The 14,966-nt window shown below is 47.9% G+C and overlaps 2 protein-coding genes across 27 annotated transcripts in view, besides 11 other annotated features; one reads left to right on the top strand and one right to left on the bottom strand.

Moving 5' to 3' along the window:
- Positions 1–4,020, bottom strand: part of CDCA8 (cell division cycle associated 8) — a 17,204-nt gene extending 13,184 nt beyond the window's left edge. The window contains exons 1-4 of one of the 2 annotated variants that reach the window (NM_018101.4): positions 3,958–4,020; positions 3,752–3,860; positions 3,503–3,631; positions 586–626 (exon numbers count right to left, since the gene is read on the bottom strand). In NM_018101.4, coding sequence (NP_060571.1) covers positions 586–626; positions 3,503–3,631; positions 3,752–3,845 — 264 coding nt within the window. In that variant the 5' untranslated portion in view covers positions 3,846–3,860; positions 3,958–4,020. Of the gene's footprint in view, positions 1–585; positions 627–3,502; positions 3,632–3,751 lie in introns of both variants that reach the window. The other variant, NM_001256875.2, reaches the window with a different exon arrangement.
- Positions 3,239–3,747: an enhancer, noted in NCBI's record as "H3K27ac hESC enhancer chr1:38158461-38158969 (GRCh37/hg19 assembly coordinates)". NCBI's record gives its function as "activates a minimal SCP1, AML or CMV promoter by ChIP-STARR-seq in naive H9 embryonic stem cells {active_cell/tissue: H9 hESC(naive)}" and the evidence as "EXISTENCE:reporter gene assay evidence [ECO:0000049][PMID:30033119]".
- Positions 3,748–4,258: an enhancer, noted in NCBI's record as "H3K27ac hESC enhancer chr1:38157950-38158460 (GRCh37/hg19 assembly coordinates)". NCBI's record gives its function as "activates a minimal SCP1, AML or CMV promoter by ChIP-STARR-seq in naive H9 embryonic stem cells {active_cell/tissue: H9 hESC(naive)}" and the evidence as "EXISTENCE:reporter gene assay evidence [ECO:0000049][PMID:30033119]".
- Positions 4,259–4,768: an enhancer, noted in NCBI's record as "H3K27ac-H3K4me1 hESC enhancer chr1:38157440-38157949 (GRCh37/hg19 assembly coordinates)". NCBI's record gives its function as "activates a minimal SCP1, AML or CMV promoter by ChIP-STARR-seq in naive H9 embryonic stem cells {active_cell/tissue: H9 hESC(naive)}" and the evidence as "EXISTENCE:reporter gene assay evidence [ECO:0000049][PMID:30033119]".
- Positions 4,294–14,966, top strand: AIRIM (AFG2 interacting ribosome maturation factor). Of its 25 annotated transcripts, none has more exons than NM_001350767.2 (7): positions 4,294–4,506; positions 4,955–5,077; positions 6,098–6,202; positions 6,653–6,930; positions 10,084–10,263; positions 13,099–13,217; positions 13,376–14,966. In NM_001350767.2, the coding sequence occupies exons 4-7, from the start codon at positions 6,656–6,658 to the stop codon at positions 13,411–13,413; spliced, it is 612 nt and encodes a 203-aa protein (NP_001337696.1). In that variant the 5' UTR covers positions 4,294–4,506; positions 4,955–5,077; positions 6,098–6,202; positions 6,653–6,655; the 3' UTR covers positions 13,414–14,966. The 25 variants fall into 25 exon arrangements, with proteins under 25 accessions (NP_001337696.1, NP_001337692.1, NP_001337694.1 ...); NM_001350763.2 differs by having other exon boundaries at positions 13,095–13,217; NM_001350765.2 differs by having other exon boundaries at positions 6,650–6,930.
- Positions 4,297–4,486: an enhancer, noted in NCBI's record as "active region_776". NCBI's record gives its function as "activates an Ori minimal core promoter by ATAC-STARR-seq in GM12878 lymphoblastoid cells {active_cell/tissue: GM12878}" and the evidence as "EXISTENCE:reporter gene assay evidence [ECO:0000049][PMID:35858748]".
- Positions 4,717–4,886: a silencer, noted in NCBI's record as "silent region_675". NCBI's record gives its function as "represses an Ori minimal core promoter by ATAC-STARR-seq in GM12878 lymphoblastoid cells {active_cell/tissue: GM12878}" and the evidence as "EXISTENCE:reporter gene assay evidence [ECO:0000049][PMID:35858748]".
- Positions 4,717–5,279: a biological region, named in NCBI's record as "H3K27ac-H3K4me1 hESC enhancer GRCh37_chr1:38156929-38157439".
- Positions 4,769–5,279: an enhancer, noted in NCBI's record as "H3K27ac-H3K4me1 hESC enhancer chr1:38156929-38157439 (GRCh37/hg19 assembly coordinates)". NCBI's record gives its function as "activates a minimal SCP1, AML or CMV promoter by ChIP-STARR-seq in naive H9 embryonic stem cells {active_cell/tissue: H9 hESC(naive)}" and the evidence as "EXISTENCE:reporter gene assay evidence [ECO:0000049][PMID:30033119]".
- Positions 4,907–4,966: a silencer, noted in NCBI's record as "silent region_674". NCBI's record gives its function as "represses an Ori minimal core promoter by ATAC-STARR-seq in GM12878 lymphoblastoid cells {active_cell/tissue: GM12878}" and the evidence as "EXISTENCE:reporter gene assay evidence [ECO:0000049][PMID:35858748]".
- Positions 5,845–6,034: an enhancer, noted in NCBI's record as "active region_775". NCBI's record gives its function as "activates an Ori minimal core promoter by ATAC-STARR-seq in GM12878 lymphoblastoid cells {active_cell/tissue: GM12878}" and the evidence as "EXISTENCE:reporter gene assay evidence [ECO:0000049][PMID:35858748]".
- Positions 6,615–6,674: an enhancer, noted in NCBI's record as "active region_774". NCBI's record gives its function as "activates an Ori minimal core promoter by ATAC-STARR-seq in GM12878 lymphoblastoid cells {active_cell/tissue: GM12878}" and the evidence as "EXISTENCE:reporter gene assay evidence [ECO:0000049][PMID:35858748]".
- Positions 6,745–6,854: an enhancer, noted in NCBI's record as "active region_773". NCBI's record gives its function as "activates an Ori minimal core promoter by ATAC-STARR-seq in GM12878 lymphoblastoid cells {active_cell/tissue: GM12878}" and the evidence as "EXISTENCE:reporter gene assay evidence [ECO:0000049][PMID:35858748]".

Raw genomic sequence — 14,966 nt, 5'->3', positions numbered from 1 at the left:
GGTATTGAACATGTAAAATGTGGCTAGTATGTCTGAGGAAATGAATTCTTTAATTTTATTAATTGTAATTAACTGAAATAGCTACATATGCCCAGTGGCTACTACACTGGACAGTGCAGCTTTAAATGCTCTATTTTGCATCCCCATCTTACTGCCTTCAATCCTGGCACTGATGCTGGGAGGAAGGAGATGAGAGGGGTTGGGGAATACTGAGCATCCCAAGCAAAAGCACTGCTTCTACAGTACGACATGATGAAACACCTTTATCATCTAGCAGGCCAATGCATAGTGTAATGACTCAGGCGCTTAAAGGAACTTGGGCTTGAGGCTTTCTACTTCCGCTGTAGAGTTCAGAACAAAGGACTGCAAGAAATTGGTCAAAAACAGAACTGCCACCTTCTGTAGGGCTCAGAACTATCTGGGTCTCATGTATACAGTGTCTGGTCCAACTCTAATTTTTCAGTTGACACAAACAGATGATGTCCCTTTATGAAACCTCTTCCACAGTAAGCATCTATTAGTTGGATCTGGGGACTGGACTAGACTTAAGTAACCACTGGCTGGAAAATAGGAAAGGTCACTTACTGTTGCCGCCTCTTCCAGGGCCTGTTTGTTTCCTCCAAGGGCTTTAAAAAGAACGTTGTAGTTACTATTACATTTTAACAATAAATCATCTTGCCTAATAGTACCATTTATCTTTCTAAAACTGGTCCAGCCCTTGGTCTAACCTTCAAGGACCTTCACCATCTAATCTATTCTTTCTCCAAGTTATATCCCAAATGTGCCACTGACTCTCATGACTTGTTGCCATGGTACTTTGTATTTCCTCTGCCTGAAATTCACCTCCGTACTTAACAAATTTCTAACTCATCCTTCAAAACTCAGCTCAAACATCACCCCAAAAATTCTGCTTATTTTTCTTTTTAAAAAATATATTTTAAATTTTATTTATTTTTGAGACAGAGTCTTGCTCTGTCACCCAAGCTGGAGTGGAGTGGCGCCTCCTTGGCTGTCTCCTGGGCTCAACTGATCCTCCCACCTTGGCCTCCCAAGTAGCTGGGACTACAGGCATGCGCCACCACATTCGGCTAATTTTTGTGTTTTTTTGTAGAGATAGGGTTTCGCCAAGTTGTCCAGGTTGTCTTTTTTTTTTTTTTTTTTTTTTTTAAGTAGAGATGTGGTCTCCTGCTATGTTGCCCAGGCTGGTTTTGAACTCCTGGGGTCAAGTGATACTCCTGCCTTGGCCTCCCAAAGTGCTAGGATTATAGGCATGAATCCCCACCCTATGCCCTGCCCTCTGCTTATTTTTCTTTTTTAAAAATTTATTTTTAATTATTTTTTTTAAAGCTTAAAGATATGGTCTTGTTATGTTGCCCAGGCTGGTCTCAAATTCCTGGGCTCAAGTAATCCACCTGCCTTGGCCTCCCAAAGTGCTGGAATTCCAGGTGAGCCACTGTGCCCAGCCTGCTTATTTTTCTATCTCAGCAGTTTGCTGCAAAGTGTAGAGTTAGTTGCTCACCCTCATTATACCCAATAACTACTCAAAGCTGTTTAAATGTCCATCCCTGCCTTGGACTGAATTCCAGAGATGACATCCTTTGCTTCTGGCAAAAATCTAGCAGTCAATAGATGTACAGTAAACGTGTTGAATGAAAAGGTCTTTGTGAGATTTACATGTAGAATAAAAAGTTAGGTTAGAACCTCCTGCTAGAAACTCTCATAGTATCTTGTAAAACAGTTAAGATCTCAGGCTATGAAACCAGAATACCTGGGTTCAAACAGACTATCCCACTAACTAGCTTATGAGGCCTTGAGCAAAGTGTCCAATTTCTCTGTGCCTTAATCTTGTCATTTTGAAAAATAGGGATATTATTAGTTATGAAGAAAAATTAGTTAATGTATGTAAAACACTTGGTACAATGCCCATCTGGCATAGAAAGCACAATATGCTCACTGACCACTACTCTATTCTATCTCCTTTGTAGTACCTATACTTTTAATTACATAATTGTATGTGGATTTTTCTAATAGCTCTTTTCTACTAATCTGTATGTTCCTGAAGGCAGAGACAATGTCTGTTTTATTCCCTAGTGCATCTTTAGCACCTAGCACTGTGACTGACACATGCTCAGTATTTGGAGAAATAAGCAAATGAATGGCTTAATAAATAAAAGGGCAAGTCAAAAGGATCATTCAATGTCTAATATGTGAGCAGACCATGCATTTCTATCCAGGAAGGAGACTACATGCTGGATAGTTAATAATAAGGAAAACAGAAAAGGGCAACCCAGCAGAAAAGTACAGCCTCCTGCATTTCTCCGGACATTTAATAAGGGAGTGCAGAAACAGGCTGGGATTTTTCTCTGGCCAGGAAAACTGATGTGTCTTTTTTTTTGAGACGGAGTTTCACTCTTGTTGCCCAGGCTGGAGTGCAATGGCGTGCTCTCAGCTCACCGCAACCTCTGCCTCCCAGGTTCAAGCGATTGTCCTGCCTCAGCCTCCAGAGTAGCTGGGATTAGAGGTATGCGCCACCACGCCCGGCTAACTTTTTTGTATTTTTAGTAGAGACAGGGTTTCTCCATGTTGGTCAGGCTGGTCTCGAACTCCTGACCTCAGGTCATCTGCCCGCCTCAGCCTCCCAAAGTGCTGGGATTACAGGCGTGAGCCACCACGCCCAGCCTGATGCGCCCATTTTTAGGTTAGCAATTTCCATAAGCTGCAGAAGGAGCTGCTTCGGGTTATTCTTCTATCTGAGCTCTGGTTAACTAACCATGTCATTTATTCATTCATTTTTAAATGGGTAAAATATACATATATTTTTAAAAATACTATTTTCTGGCCGGGCGCAGTGGCTGACTCCTGTAATCCCAGCACTTTGGGAGGCCTATGTAGGTGGATCACTTGAGGTCAGGAGTTCGAGACCAGCCTGGCCAACATGGTGAAACCCCGTCTCTACTGAAAATACAAAAATCAGCGGGGCATGGTGGCAGGCGACCGTAATCCCAGCCACTCCAGAGGCTGAGGCAGGAGAATCACTTGAACCCAGAAGGTGGAGGTTGCAGTGAGCAGGGATCGCACCACTGCACTGCACTGCACTCCAGCCTGGGTGACAGAGTGAGACTCTGTTTAAAAAAAATTAAATAAATTTCCTGATGTGTGAAAATTATGTGAAATTCACATTTCAGTGTATCCATAACTAAAATTTTATTGGAATACAGCCCATCCATGCCCATTCACTACAGCTGTTTTGGACCTGTAAACAGCAGAGCTGAGTTGTCCGACAGAGACCGCCCCGCCCGCCGCCCCCCAACCACCCCCCCATTTTTCATAGAGAAAAATGAAGTAGGGAAGTGAGACAGAGAGTGAAAGGGTCTGCAATTTTCCATAAGTGGTCATGTCAGATCTCATTAAAAGGTGACATCTGAGCGAGCCCTTTCTGAAGGGTGTCACCTAACCCCAAGGGGCTCCTGGCCTCCGCCCAGGGAAGCTCTCCAGCTCTTACCGAAGTAGTCAAGCCAGTTCATCTCGCGCAGAGCCTTGGGGAGCCGCAGGATCTCGATGTTGTAGAGGTTATCCACCTCCTTGAGGAGGTTCTGCCTGTCTGACTCAATTTGCTTGATTCGTATTTCCACTGCGGGAGGGCAGAGCCGACAGGACACGGGTCACGGGCGGGCGAATCTGTGCAGCTCGTGTCCCCACCCGCCAGCATCCCGCGACCGCCCCAGGAGGCCGCGACGGCCTGGCCCCTTACCTTCACGGTCGAAGTCTTTCAGAAAGGAGGCGAGCTTCCGCCTCCGTAAGGAGTTGGTCTTGGCCACCCGACTACTGCCCTTCCTAGGAGCCATGGCGCTCGGCGGAGGCTGCGGGGAGCGGCGGAGATGGGGCAGGGAAGCAAGAAACTGGGTAGGGACGAGGAGGGCGGACGGGGACCACCCGAAGAAGTCGCCAGGCACGTACCTGCGGTCCCGAGACAAGGGCTGAGCAAAACCTCGCTGTGCCAGTGAGAGAGAGCGGCTCTACAGTCAACCGCCACCCAATTCAAACTCCACAGTCACAGGCTGACGAATGAGAAGCCGCCGTCCCACAACATCCAATCACAAGCAAGTTCCTGCCGGCCCAGGGTCTTCCGCCCAATGCGCCCCCTATAGCCTGAGTGCGACAGCGAGGCCGCCGCCGTCGCGGGTACTCCTGGGAGTTGTGGTCCAGGCTTGTTTCCCCGCCCTCCCCACCAACCCACCCGGCTCCGCCCTGGCCGGCTGCGAACTATACAAACTACTACTCCCGGCAGGCCTTGTGGCGGCTCTGCAATACCCCAAGCTCTGGAGGGCTGGGGGCCTACTAGGTCAGGTCGGCTGTAGGATTCTGCTCCAGGGTTGGCGGCTGCTTCTTTCTGGCCTGGCTGCCACTGAGTAGCCGAGGGGCCGCCGTGACCCTCTGACTGATTGACTGGCTGGCTGCCTACGTCGGCGCTCCTCAGGGCCCCAAGCTCCTCAGGCCGAACTTCGGGCAAGTGGCGGGTCGGCAGAGACAGAGCAGCCCCGGCAGGGTTTGACAGAGCAAGGGGGACGGAATGATAGAGGAGCAGGGCAGGGGTGCAGGCTTTGGGGGGGGCGCGCTATCCCGCGGCCAGTCTGGGCAGCGAGTGGGGGGAACCCTGTCGTTCCTCGCTCCCCCGCGGGCCGGCCACTCCCGCCCAGTTCGCGTGTTGGCGCCTCGACTGGGTGCGCAGCGCGGGGCTGCGACTTCAGGTGCAAGTAGTGGCGCTTGGCAGCTGGCCACACGGTGACTGCAGCATGAGCCGCGGCCACCAGGCTCCAGGGAGCCCAGGGCAGGAGGCAGCTCTGGGTGTCGTGGCCGTGGGCCTGGGAATGGGCGTGTAGACGGCGAGCCCCGCCGAGCCGCGGTCCTGTCGGAGGTGCTAACTGTGCATCTTGGTATCTGCCCACGGCCACAGGGTTGGATTGCTCAAGAGTTGTGCTGAGACCCAGAAGGCTAGAGGCTAGTTTCGAAGCTGTAGCTCAGGCTGAGTCTCAAGGCGGGCGGCGACTGGACGGCCAGACCGGCGAGCTCTTGACGGGTTTGTGGCCTGATTGTTTGGATTTGGTGCTTTTCACCTGTGGATGCGGTCTGAAGCCATGTCAGAGGGGTTGTGTTTAAGCGTGCATGTTATAGGCTATGGGAGTGATAATCTTGCCTCTCCCCCTCTGAGTTGAGGAACAATCGAAGAAATAAGCAAAGGTGCCAAGCAGGCTCCTGATGGGCACCAGCGAGCTTGGGGACAGAGCAGTCCAAGCATAGAAGTCCTGGCAAGCCTGGACCTTCCTGGAAAGTCCTTTCTCTCTCTTCCACCCTGGTCTGTTGCTCCATATGCAACAAATATTTGAATGTCGCTCTTCCGCCCGAGGTCAGCCCTGGGCAGTGGGTAGTGGGGGTGACACCCCAGTCTGCTGGGTGCCTGAGGATCTCCATCAGTCAGATGGCCAAGATGAGACGGGATGACAACCCGTACCTCATGTAGGCTTTCCCCCTGCAGGTGTTTTTATGCTGCGCAAGTCGGGCTTCCAGCCTCTCGGTTTCAGGGTTTCCTTCACCCTACTCCCCAGTGAGCCCGAACTCCCTGGGCACCTAGGACGTCCACCTGCATTTTAGCCAGAGCTGCCACGTCAGGAGCCCGTGATTTACTAGTTTTTGCCAGTTGGTTGTGATACACAATGTCAAAAGTGTCATTAAGGCACAACCGGAGGCGCAAGATAAGAGGAAAAGACTCCACAGCTAACAGGACATGCCACCACCGCCACCCAATTTAAACTGCCGCAGGCTGACAAATGAGAAGTCGCCGTGTTTGGACGGTCCCAACATCCAATCCCAAGGAAGCTTCAAGCCGAGTGGCCAGTCCACATGTTGGACTACAGTACCCAGAAGTCATTGCGGCACTACGATATATTTTCGCGACTCAGTAGCCAGGCAGGCCCGCGGAGTAGCTTTGTGGGGAGGTCGCGTGTGAGCATGCGCAGAGAGACTGTGGGCGCGTGGTGCAGTCCCTGGAGGGTTCTCACGCTTTGGCTGTCTGGACTTTTAAGTTTTTCCGCTTTTTCAGGAAGGCGACCGGCAGCCTCGGGCAGGGGAGACAGGACTGTATGTCAGAGAAGAGACGGCGCTTGGACGCCAGGAATCCTCTGAAGCAGGAGACTGCCCTATCCAGGTTACCCTTCCCGAGGGGAAACCAGGGTCTCCTTCAGAAAGCTGAGGCAGGCCGGGCGCGGTGGCTCACGCCTGTAATCCCAGCACTTTGGAAGACCGAGGCGGGCGGATCACCTGAGGTCAGGAACCCCGTCTACTAAAAATACAAAAATTAGCCAGGCGTGTTGGCGGGCACCTGTATTCCCAGCTACTCGGGAGGCTGAGGCAGGAGAATTGCTTGAACCCGGGATGCGGAGGTTGCAGTGAGCCGAGATAGCGCCACTGCACTCCAGCCTGGGCGACAGTGAGACTCCGTCTCGAAAAAAAAACAAAAAAAAAACCCTGCTTCTGGAGGTGAGACAACTCCTGTCTGAACACGATAACAGAGATGACGCCCACCCTCGACCCAGTGCCTCCCCGACTGACTTGGCACCCCAACGTGGTTATTTTCTGTTTTTATCTTTTTCAGCAGAAGATGACTCAAGACCGGCCTCTGCTTGCCGTGCAGGAGGCGCTGAAGAAGTGCTTCCCCGTGGTGGAGGAGCAGCAGGGCCTGTGGCAGAGTGCCCTGCGGGACTGCCAGCCCCTCCTGTCCTCCCTCAGCAACCTGGCGGAACAGCTGCAGGCCGCACAGAACCTGCGGTTTGAGGATGTGCCGGCGCTTCGGGCCTTCCCAGATTTAAAAGAGCGGCTGAGGCGTAAGCAGCTGGTGGCTGGTGACATCGTCCTGGACAAGCTAGGGGAAAGGCTGTAAGCAGCTCCCTAGTGCTGTTTCTTGGTGGAAGGATTTTAAAACGAGGTGTTTTATATGTAGCTAGTGTCAGTCCAGAAGGTGTTTTTCTCCTTGAAAGCGTGGCATGTGGAGGTATCTCAACCTTCCTTACTTCATCTGGGGCAGTGGGACCTCGGTCAGAAAGCCATTTTCTGGCATTTTCTTTGTCAGAGACTAGGCATGGCAGTGGTGGGCTTAGTAGAAGTCACAAAAGAAGAAGAGAAAAGGAGCGGAGAAAGCCTATTAGCTCTGCCCTATAGTTTTCTTTGGTAAAAGGCAGTGAGGAGCTGTGTAAACTTAGTAGGTGCTAGAGCTAAGGGGTTTATGTATATTACGTTATAAAGTCTCTTCAACATATCTGTGACTTAACTGCACTTAATTCTATGCAGGTAGGAAACTGAAGCTTAAGCAGATTGCCCATGGTGACGCAGCTAGAAAAGGGTAGAGCTGGGATTCTAACTCAAGTGTGCCTGACACAAAGGCTAGAGCTCTTAATCACCACTTTGTTCTGCTGTAGATTGGTGTCTCTGTGCCCAGGAGTAGCACGTCTCCAAGTTCTGATATGCTTGTTGTCAGACCCAGTGCCTGCGTTACAGATTTTTTTTTTTTTTTTTTTTTGAGACAGGGTCTTGCTCTGTCACTCAGGCTGGAGTGCAGTGGCACAATCACAGCTCATTGTAGCCTCGATTTCCCTGGTTCAAGCGATCCTCCCACCTCAGCCCCCCAAGTACCTGGGACAACAAGCGTGCACTTCCATGCCCAGCTAATTTTAAAATTTTTTGTAGAGATAGGGTCTCACTATGTTGCCCAGGCTGAGAGTTACAGGTTATTGAGGACAGAGGGGAGACAGGGCATGTGTGGCCTTTCCTTGAACTGGAACAAAAGAAAGTTCCAGTATATAGAGTCTGTCATAGACTAATAGGAAACTGTCACAGATGAGGACTTTCCTTTTATTTATTTGTACAAAATACGTTCATTAGGCACCTTGTGGGATGCCAAGCACAAGGTGCCAAGAATATAAAAATGAACCAGATTTAGTTCCTGTTCTTAGTTGAGTAGAAGAAATAAACAATCAGTGAATTAAATTGTGGGATGTCCTAAGATATTGATAAGTACGGCTTGTGTGGAGTGGGGAAGTTTCTGGGGAGGAAGTGATATTAAAAACCTAATGGTTGAAAAGATGTAAACAGAGTCAAGACGTGGGTATGAGTAGTGTGCATAGAGAATAGTATGACTGGCCCGGCACGGTGGCTTATGGCTGTAATCCCAGCACTTTGGGAGGCAGATCACTTGAGGTCAGGAGTTCGAGACCAGCCTGGCCAACATGGTGAAACACCATCTCTACTAAAAATAAAAAAAGTTAACTGGCTGTCGTGGCACACACCTGTAGTCCCAGCTAAAGGGGAGGCTGAGGCAGGAGAATCTCTTGGACCTGGGAGGCAGAGGTTGCAGTGAGCCAAGACTGTCCCACTGCACTCCAGCCTGGGTGACAGAGCAAGACTCTGTCTCAAAAAAAGAGAGAAAAGTATGACAGGAGCAGAGGCCTGGTAAGAGATGAGATCAGCTGGGTATGGCAGCTCAGCCTGTAATCCCAGCACTTAGGGAGGCTGAGGCAGGAGGATCGCTTGAGCCTAGAAGTTTGAGACCAGCCTGGGCAACATAGTGAGATCCCATTCTCCATGAAAAGGAAAGCAAAACAAAAAAAAGATGAGGCCAGGTACGGTGCCTCACTCCTGTAATCCCAGCACTTTGAGAGGCTAAGGACAAGAGGATCATTTGAACCCAGGAGTGCTGTGAGTACCTATGAGTGCTTTACTTAATATTTTGTCTTTTATTTATTTTTATTTTATTTTTAGAGACAGTCTCACCCTGTTGCCCAGGCTGAAGTGCAGCGGTATGATCATAGCTTACTGTAGCCTCTAACTCCTCCTGCCAGCCTCCTGAGTAGCTGGGATTCCAAGAGCATGCCACCATACCTAGCTAATTTTTAAAATTTTTTGTGGAGATAGTCTTGCCATATTGCCCAGGCTGGTCTCAAATTCCTGGCTTCAAGCTGTCCTCTGGCCTTGCCCTCCCAAACTACTGGGATTACAGGCATGCCACTGCACCTGTTTTTTTTTTTAAATGTTTTAATTAAAAAAAAATATATATTAGCTGGGCACGGTGGCTCATGCCTGTAATCCTAACACTTTGGGAGGCCGAGGTAGGTGGATCACCTGAGGTCGGGAGTTCGAGACCAGCCTGACCAACATGGAGAAACCCCGTCTCTACTGAAAAAAAAATACAAAATTAGCCGGGTGTGGTGGCGCATGCCTGTAATCCCAGCTACTCAGGAGGCTGAGGCAGGAGAATCACTTGAACCCGGGAGCCAGAGGTTGTGGTGAGCCAAGATCGCACCATTGCACTCCAGCCTGGGCGACAAGAACGAAACTCCATCTCAATAAAAAAACAAAAAACAAAAACAAAAACTATACACACACACACACACACACACACACACACACACACACACACACACACACACTTTTGAGACGGAGTCTCGCTCTGTCACCCAGGTTGAAGTGCAGTGACGCGAACTTGGCTCACTGCAACCTCTGCCTCTGGGTTCAAGTGATTCTCGTGCCTCCCGAGTAGCTGGGTCTACAGGTGTGCACCACCACACCTGGCTAATTTTTGTATATTTAGTAGAGACGGGGTTTTGGGACATTGGCTGGTCTCAAACTCCTGACCTCAGGTGATCCACCCCGCTCAGCCTCCCAAAGCTGGGATTACAGGCAACAGCCTCTGCACCCAGCCCCTTTCTTGATTCTTGAGCCACCCGTACCTCCAAGACACTGTCACTAATCTCCTTAGACCAGTGGTCTCAATTGGAGATGGTTTTTCTATGAGGGGACATTTGGCATCATCTAGAGGCATTATTGGTTGTTATGGCTTATGGAGGGTATAGGTATAGTTTACACCTGTCATTTAGTGGGTAGGGGCCAGGCATGCTCCTACACGTCCTACAATGTACAGGGCAGCCCTTCACAACAGAGAATCATGTAGTCCAAAATATCAGTAGTGCCAAAATTGAGAAACCTTCCTTTATACATGTCTCATGATATTGCCTAATGTCAGACTCTTTCTTGCAGAGCCATCCTCCTCAAGGTGCGAGACATGGTCAGCAGCCATGTGGAGCGAGTGTTTCAGATCTATGAGCAACACGCAGACACAGTTGGCATTGATGCTGTCCTGCAGCCTTCAGCAGTGAGCCCCTCTGTGGCTGACATGTTGGAATGGTTGCAGGATATTGAGAGACATTATCGAAAGTCGTATCCTTTGCACACATTTCAGGTCACAGCCAGAGCTGTTCTAAGTCTTTCAAATTTCAGTTTTCACAAGATTGGAAAACTAAGTAGTTTGAGTCAGTTCTCTTTGGTTCCTGAACTTGGATTCTTCCTGCATTCCTTTGTATAATCCTTCCTCTAATAATTTATCGAGTAGCTACTACCTGTCAGGCACTGTTCTTGGTGCAAAGAGACAGGCATTGAAAAAGGCAAGTAGAATGCTGAATGGCGATAAGTGTTATGGAGAAAAATAAAGCAGGGAAAGTGAGGAGTGAGGGTGGAGTTGTGATTTAAAATAGGGTGGTCAGAGCAGGCTTCATGAGAAAGTGATATTTGAGCAGAGATCTGAAGAGGGTAAGGGAAAGAGCTATGTGGCTATTTGGGGAGAGAAAGTTACTAGGCAGAGGAAACATCAAATGCAAAGGCCTTGTGGTAAGAACATTCCTGGTCTATTCAGGAAATAGTAAGGAGGCTAGACTGGAGCATGAGGAGGAGCCTAACAGCAGGTGAGGGTAGAAAGACAGGGGGCTCGACTTTCTAGGGCCTTGAAGGTCTTTGAAAGAATTTGGGGTCTGGGCGTGGTGGCTCACACCTGTAATCCCAGCCCTTTGGGAAGCTGAGGTGGGAGGACTGCTTGAGCCCGAGAGTTTGAGACCAGCCTGGGCAACATGGTGAAACGCCGTCTCTACAAAAAATACAAAAATTAGCCAGGCATGGTGGTATGTGCCTGAAGTCTGTAATCCCAGCTACTCGGGAGGGTGAAGCTGGAGGATTGCTTGAACTGGGGGAGGTCAAGGCTGCAGTGAGCTGAGATCGTGCCACTGCACTCCAGCCTGGGTGATAAAGTGAAACTCTGTCTCCAAAAAAAAAAAAAAGAATTTTGGGCCAGGCATGATGGTGTGCAGCTATAGTCCCAGCTACTCAGGAGGCTGAGGTGGGAGGGTTGCTTGAGCGTGGGAGGTCAAGGCTGCAGTGAGCCTTGATTGCCAGCCTGGGTGTGATCACCAGCCTAGGTGACAGAGCAAGACCCTGTCTCAAACCACCCCCCGCCCACCCCCCCCCCCCAAAAAAAAGCATTCGAGTGACAGAAAAACCTCTTAGAAACTTGATTAAGGAGTAACAGGATAAGACCTATGTTTTTAACAGTATCATTCTGGCTTCGTTCTAGGGTAAGATTTGGGGTAGTGGGGGCAAGGGTAAAAGCAGAAAGACCAGTTAGTTGAAGCTCTAACATTTTTCTCTCAAAAAAATTTTTTTTTTGCCTAGGAGATGGGGTCTTGCTGTGTTGACCAGGCTGGTCTTGAACTCCTGGCCTTGATGATCCTACCTCCTTGGCTTCCCAAAGTGCTAAGAGTACCGGTGTGAGCCACCATGCCTGGTCTTCTCTCAATTCTTGTCTGACACCTGATTTTAGCCTCTAGCTTAGGTTTCTGCCTTCATGTGAATAATTCCCAAACCCCAACTTTTCTTGTCTCTGGTCTTGACTTTTGGTTTCCTGCAGATGCCTCCAACTGGATTGTTCTTAGAACTGCAAACTCAAGTTTAAAATTGAACTCCTCAATCTAGCCCTCAAATTCAGCCCCCTTTTCCTTGAGTCGTAGAACCCACCCTGTTTTCTCTTTTATTTATTTATTTTTTGAGACAGAGTTTTGCTCTTGTTGCCCAGACTGGGGTGCAATGGCACGATCTTGGCTCACTGCAACCTCCACCTCCCGAGTTCAAGCAATTCTCCTGCCTCAGCCTCCCAAGTAGCTGAGATTACAGACACCTGCCACCACGCCTGGCTAATTTTTGTACTTTTAGTAGAGAGGCGGTTTCACCATGTTGGCTAGGCTGATCTGAAACTCCTGACCTCAGGCCTCCCAAAGTGCTGAGATTACAGGCTCGAGCCACCGCGCCCGGCTTATTTTCCCTTTTAAATGCATTGGTAGCAGTAGTAGTAACAGCAACAGGAGCATGGGCAGAAGGAGCAAGAGCTGCGGCTGACATTACTAAGCACTTGCTATGTGCTAGAATGTTTACACAGTCACTTGTCAAGTCCTTTCCTTCTGTTTCCCTGGTGCTTCTTTGATTTTCCCTCTCTGTCCCCATCCCCTCTGTTGCTTACATGGCTTCTTAGCTCTCACTTGGACTCTTAATTGCCTCTTGACAGTTTTCTCTGTCTAGTTTCTTTCCTTCTAAGCTGACTCCAATGAATGACCTCTATATCTGCAGGAAGTCTGGTTCTGATCCTGATAGTTAGGATCAGAATTGTTCTGTACTGTATAGGAATAGCTCCTGTTGCTAATGGGATAAAGTTCAGAGCCCTGCGTTGGTACTTGGTGTTCTTTCTGTTCTGGCTCAGCCCACCTTTCAGCCTTTCTGACTGCTCTCCATGTGGCGTCCATGCTGAGCAGACTGGAAGATTTGCTTTCCCTGAATTCATTCTATGCATCTCCACCTCTGTGCCTTTGTTCATGTTTCCTACCAGCTGGGGTGTCCCTGCTTCCTCTGAATTGGATGTATTTATCCTCTGAACCTCCGCTAGCTTTACCTCTCATGTCCCTTTTGTTCTTTCTTTTCAGGATCTGATTTTGTCCTCACCATGCTGAGATCCCAGATTTCAGGGATGGTTTCATTCCTCTTTCCCTGTAGCACAAAGCCATGTTAGTAAACAGTTGCTCAGGAAATATTTGTAGCATAGGTGAATCAGGCCCACCTGGTAAAATGTAAGGATATCTGCACTTTCACTTTTATGGCTCCCTCTGGTTCTCACCAGGGTGTTTTTTTTCACTTCAGCATACTGCATTTTCTTTTGAGCAGTCCTTAACTTCCAGAAAGGTACCTGAAGAGAAAGTATCTTCTTTCGTCTATCCAGTGGGGAGACTTGGCAAACATACAAGCTTTGCCCAAGGCCTGGGACCGAATTTCAAAAGACGAACACCAAGATCTTGTACAAGGTACTGGTTTGTGTTCTTCCTTTGTGTCTCCTCTCCTCCTTTCTCTCCCTGTGGCTCGCCTCTTTGGAAGCATTAGGAAGGTGCCCTTGCTGTGCCTCTGTGTGTTTTATGTTCTCGGGAGAGGTGATAATGCCATTTTTTCTGTCTTCCTATTTCAGATATCCTATTGAATGTTTCCTTCTTCCTGGAAGAGTAAGGAAGCTATGCGTATCTGGAGACCACGGGTACCACAGTTGAAGACTGACATTCTGAACCCTGATGTTTCTAAAGAAACGTCAGTATTTCAGTCTGACATATTTGAAACATCAGTGCCTTGAACCTTAGGACTGGGTCTTGGGGAGGATTAGCGCCTAGATGTCTGATTTTGGAGCTGCAGCATGCCAGGCCGTGGCTGAGAGTATGTGAGCCATGCCTTGCCCTTTTCTGAGGCTCAGGGAAGTGGATGGAGCTAGAGAGACAACAGGAAAGACGGTGCTGAAGAACATAGTGTCTTTCCTCTATTGTGGACCTAAAGAGGTGGGGAAGCAAGGACAAGAGGCAAAGAGCCACACTGCCCTTGGCATCATCCAAAGCATTGTCTGGTTGACACCAGGTCCTGGTTTTGTGTCTTTTGTCAATACCTGAATCCTTGACAAAAGAAAAAGTGGTTTTGATGATTTAAAGAAATAAGGGTGATTTTGACAGAAAATATATTTTAAAAATTTTGACCAATTGCAATAGTTATCCTCAAGCCAATTTCCAGAACCTGCCACCAGGGGGAGGTGGTGCAGCATGAATCATTCTGAATGCTTTGTCTTTGAAGTGTTCCCCTATTGCTGTTACCATCTCAGAGGAAGTAACTGGGCATGGTGAGACTCCTAAAATGACAGGAGTTTTTTTGGCCAAAGCTGGCATCTGACTTGCCACATTCCTCTGAGTCTGGAGTAGCCGCAGGGGTGGGAGAATGCCAGCCCAGAGTCAGTCCATCGGGGTTACATTTCCAAGGTCTGCTGCCTTCATCTATGTAATGGCCGTGTTACTTTCAGATCTTTCAGCTTCCCAGAGTGTTGTGGGAATCTTGGTCATTGAATGTAAAGGGACTTAGTAAAGGGTATAGATATTTTTCAAAAATGAAAATAACTTTTTTTCTTATAAGTGATAAGCTTTTATAAAGATCATAGGAAAACTAGAAAAAATGTAAAATGTAGAAAATTGTAAAACAAACTTCATTAGAGATATTTTGATAGATACCTTTTCAGTGTCTATTTACAAATTTTTTCTTTTAATATAGATAGGGTCTCACTATATTGCCCAGCTCACTCCTGAGCTCAAGGGATCCTCCCACCATAGCCTCCCAAAATATTGGAAATACAGGCATGAGCCACTGCTCCTGACCAATTCACAAATTTTTTTAAAGAACAAACGTGCTATCATCGATACATACTGTTAGGTTGTCTTTTTTTAAAAAACCTAATGTAATTTGTTCATCTTTTTATATCTGTAAATATAGCTCAACACAGTTATATTCTTTTTGTGAATGTATTATATCTACAATTTACCTTTTTTCTTAGATTTTACATGCATTTTCCCAAATCTTTGTGTTTGCCTATCTGTAAAGGTAATACATTCTGATTACAAAAAATGAAAATGTTACATAGAAATGTACCGTTATCCATCTACCAGATAACTATTATTAATAATGTGTATTTATTTTTCCAGGAATTAAAAAACATCTATCATATAAGTATTGCAAATAAAACTTAAAAAGCA

This window comes from Homo sapiens, chromosome 1, assembly GCF_000001405.40.
Source record: "Homo sapiens chromosome 1, GRCh38.p14 Primary Assembly".
In the NCBI taxonomy this organism is placed as follows: domain Eukaryota; kingdom Metazoa; phylum Chordata; class Mammalia; order Primates; family Hominidae; genus Homo; species Homo sapiens.
The sequence above is the reverse complement of the archived record's forward strand: the minus strand, read 5'-3'. Positions and strand labels throughout refer to the sequence as shown.

Bases quoted from the DNA above. Each gene is read 5' to 3' on its own strand.
- AIRIM (XM_011541638.2), top strand. From the start codon at position 6,138: ATGTCAGAGAAGAGACGGCGCTTGGACGCCAGGAATCCTCTGAAGCAG. The intron at 6,931-10,083 runs GTAAGCAGCTCC...TCTTTCTTGCAG, and splicing joins GACAAGCTAGGGGAAAGGCT to AGCCATCCTCCTCAAGGTGC. The intron at 10,264-13,094 runs GTATCCTTTGCA...CTTAACTTCCAG, and splicing joins GAGAGACATTATCGAAAGTC to AAAGGTACCTGAAGAGAAAG.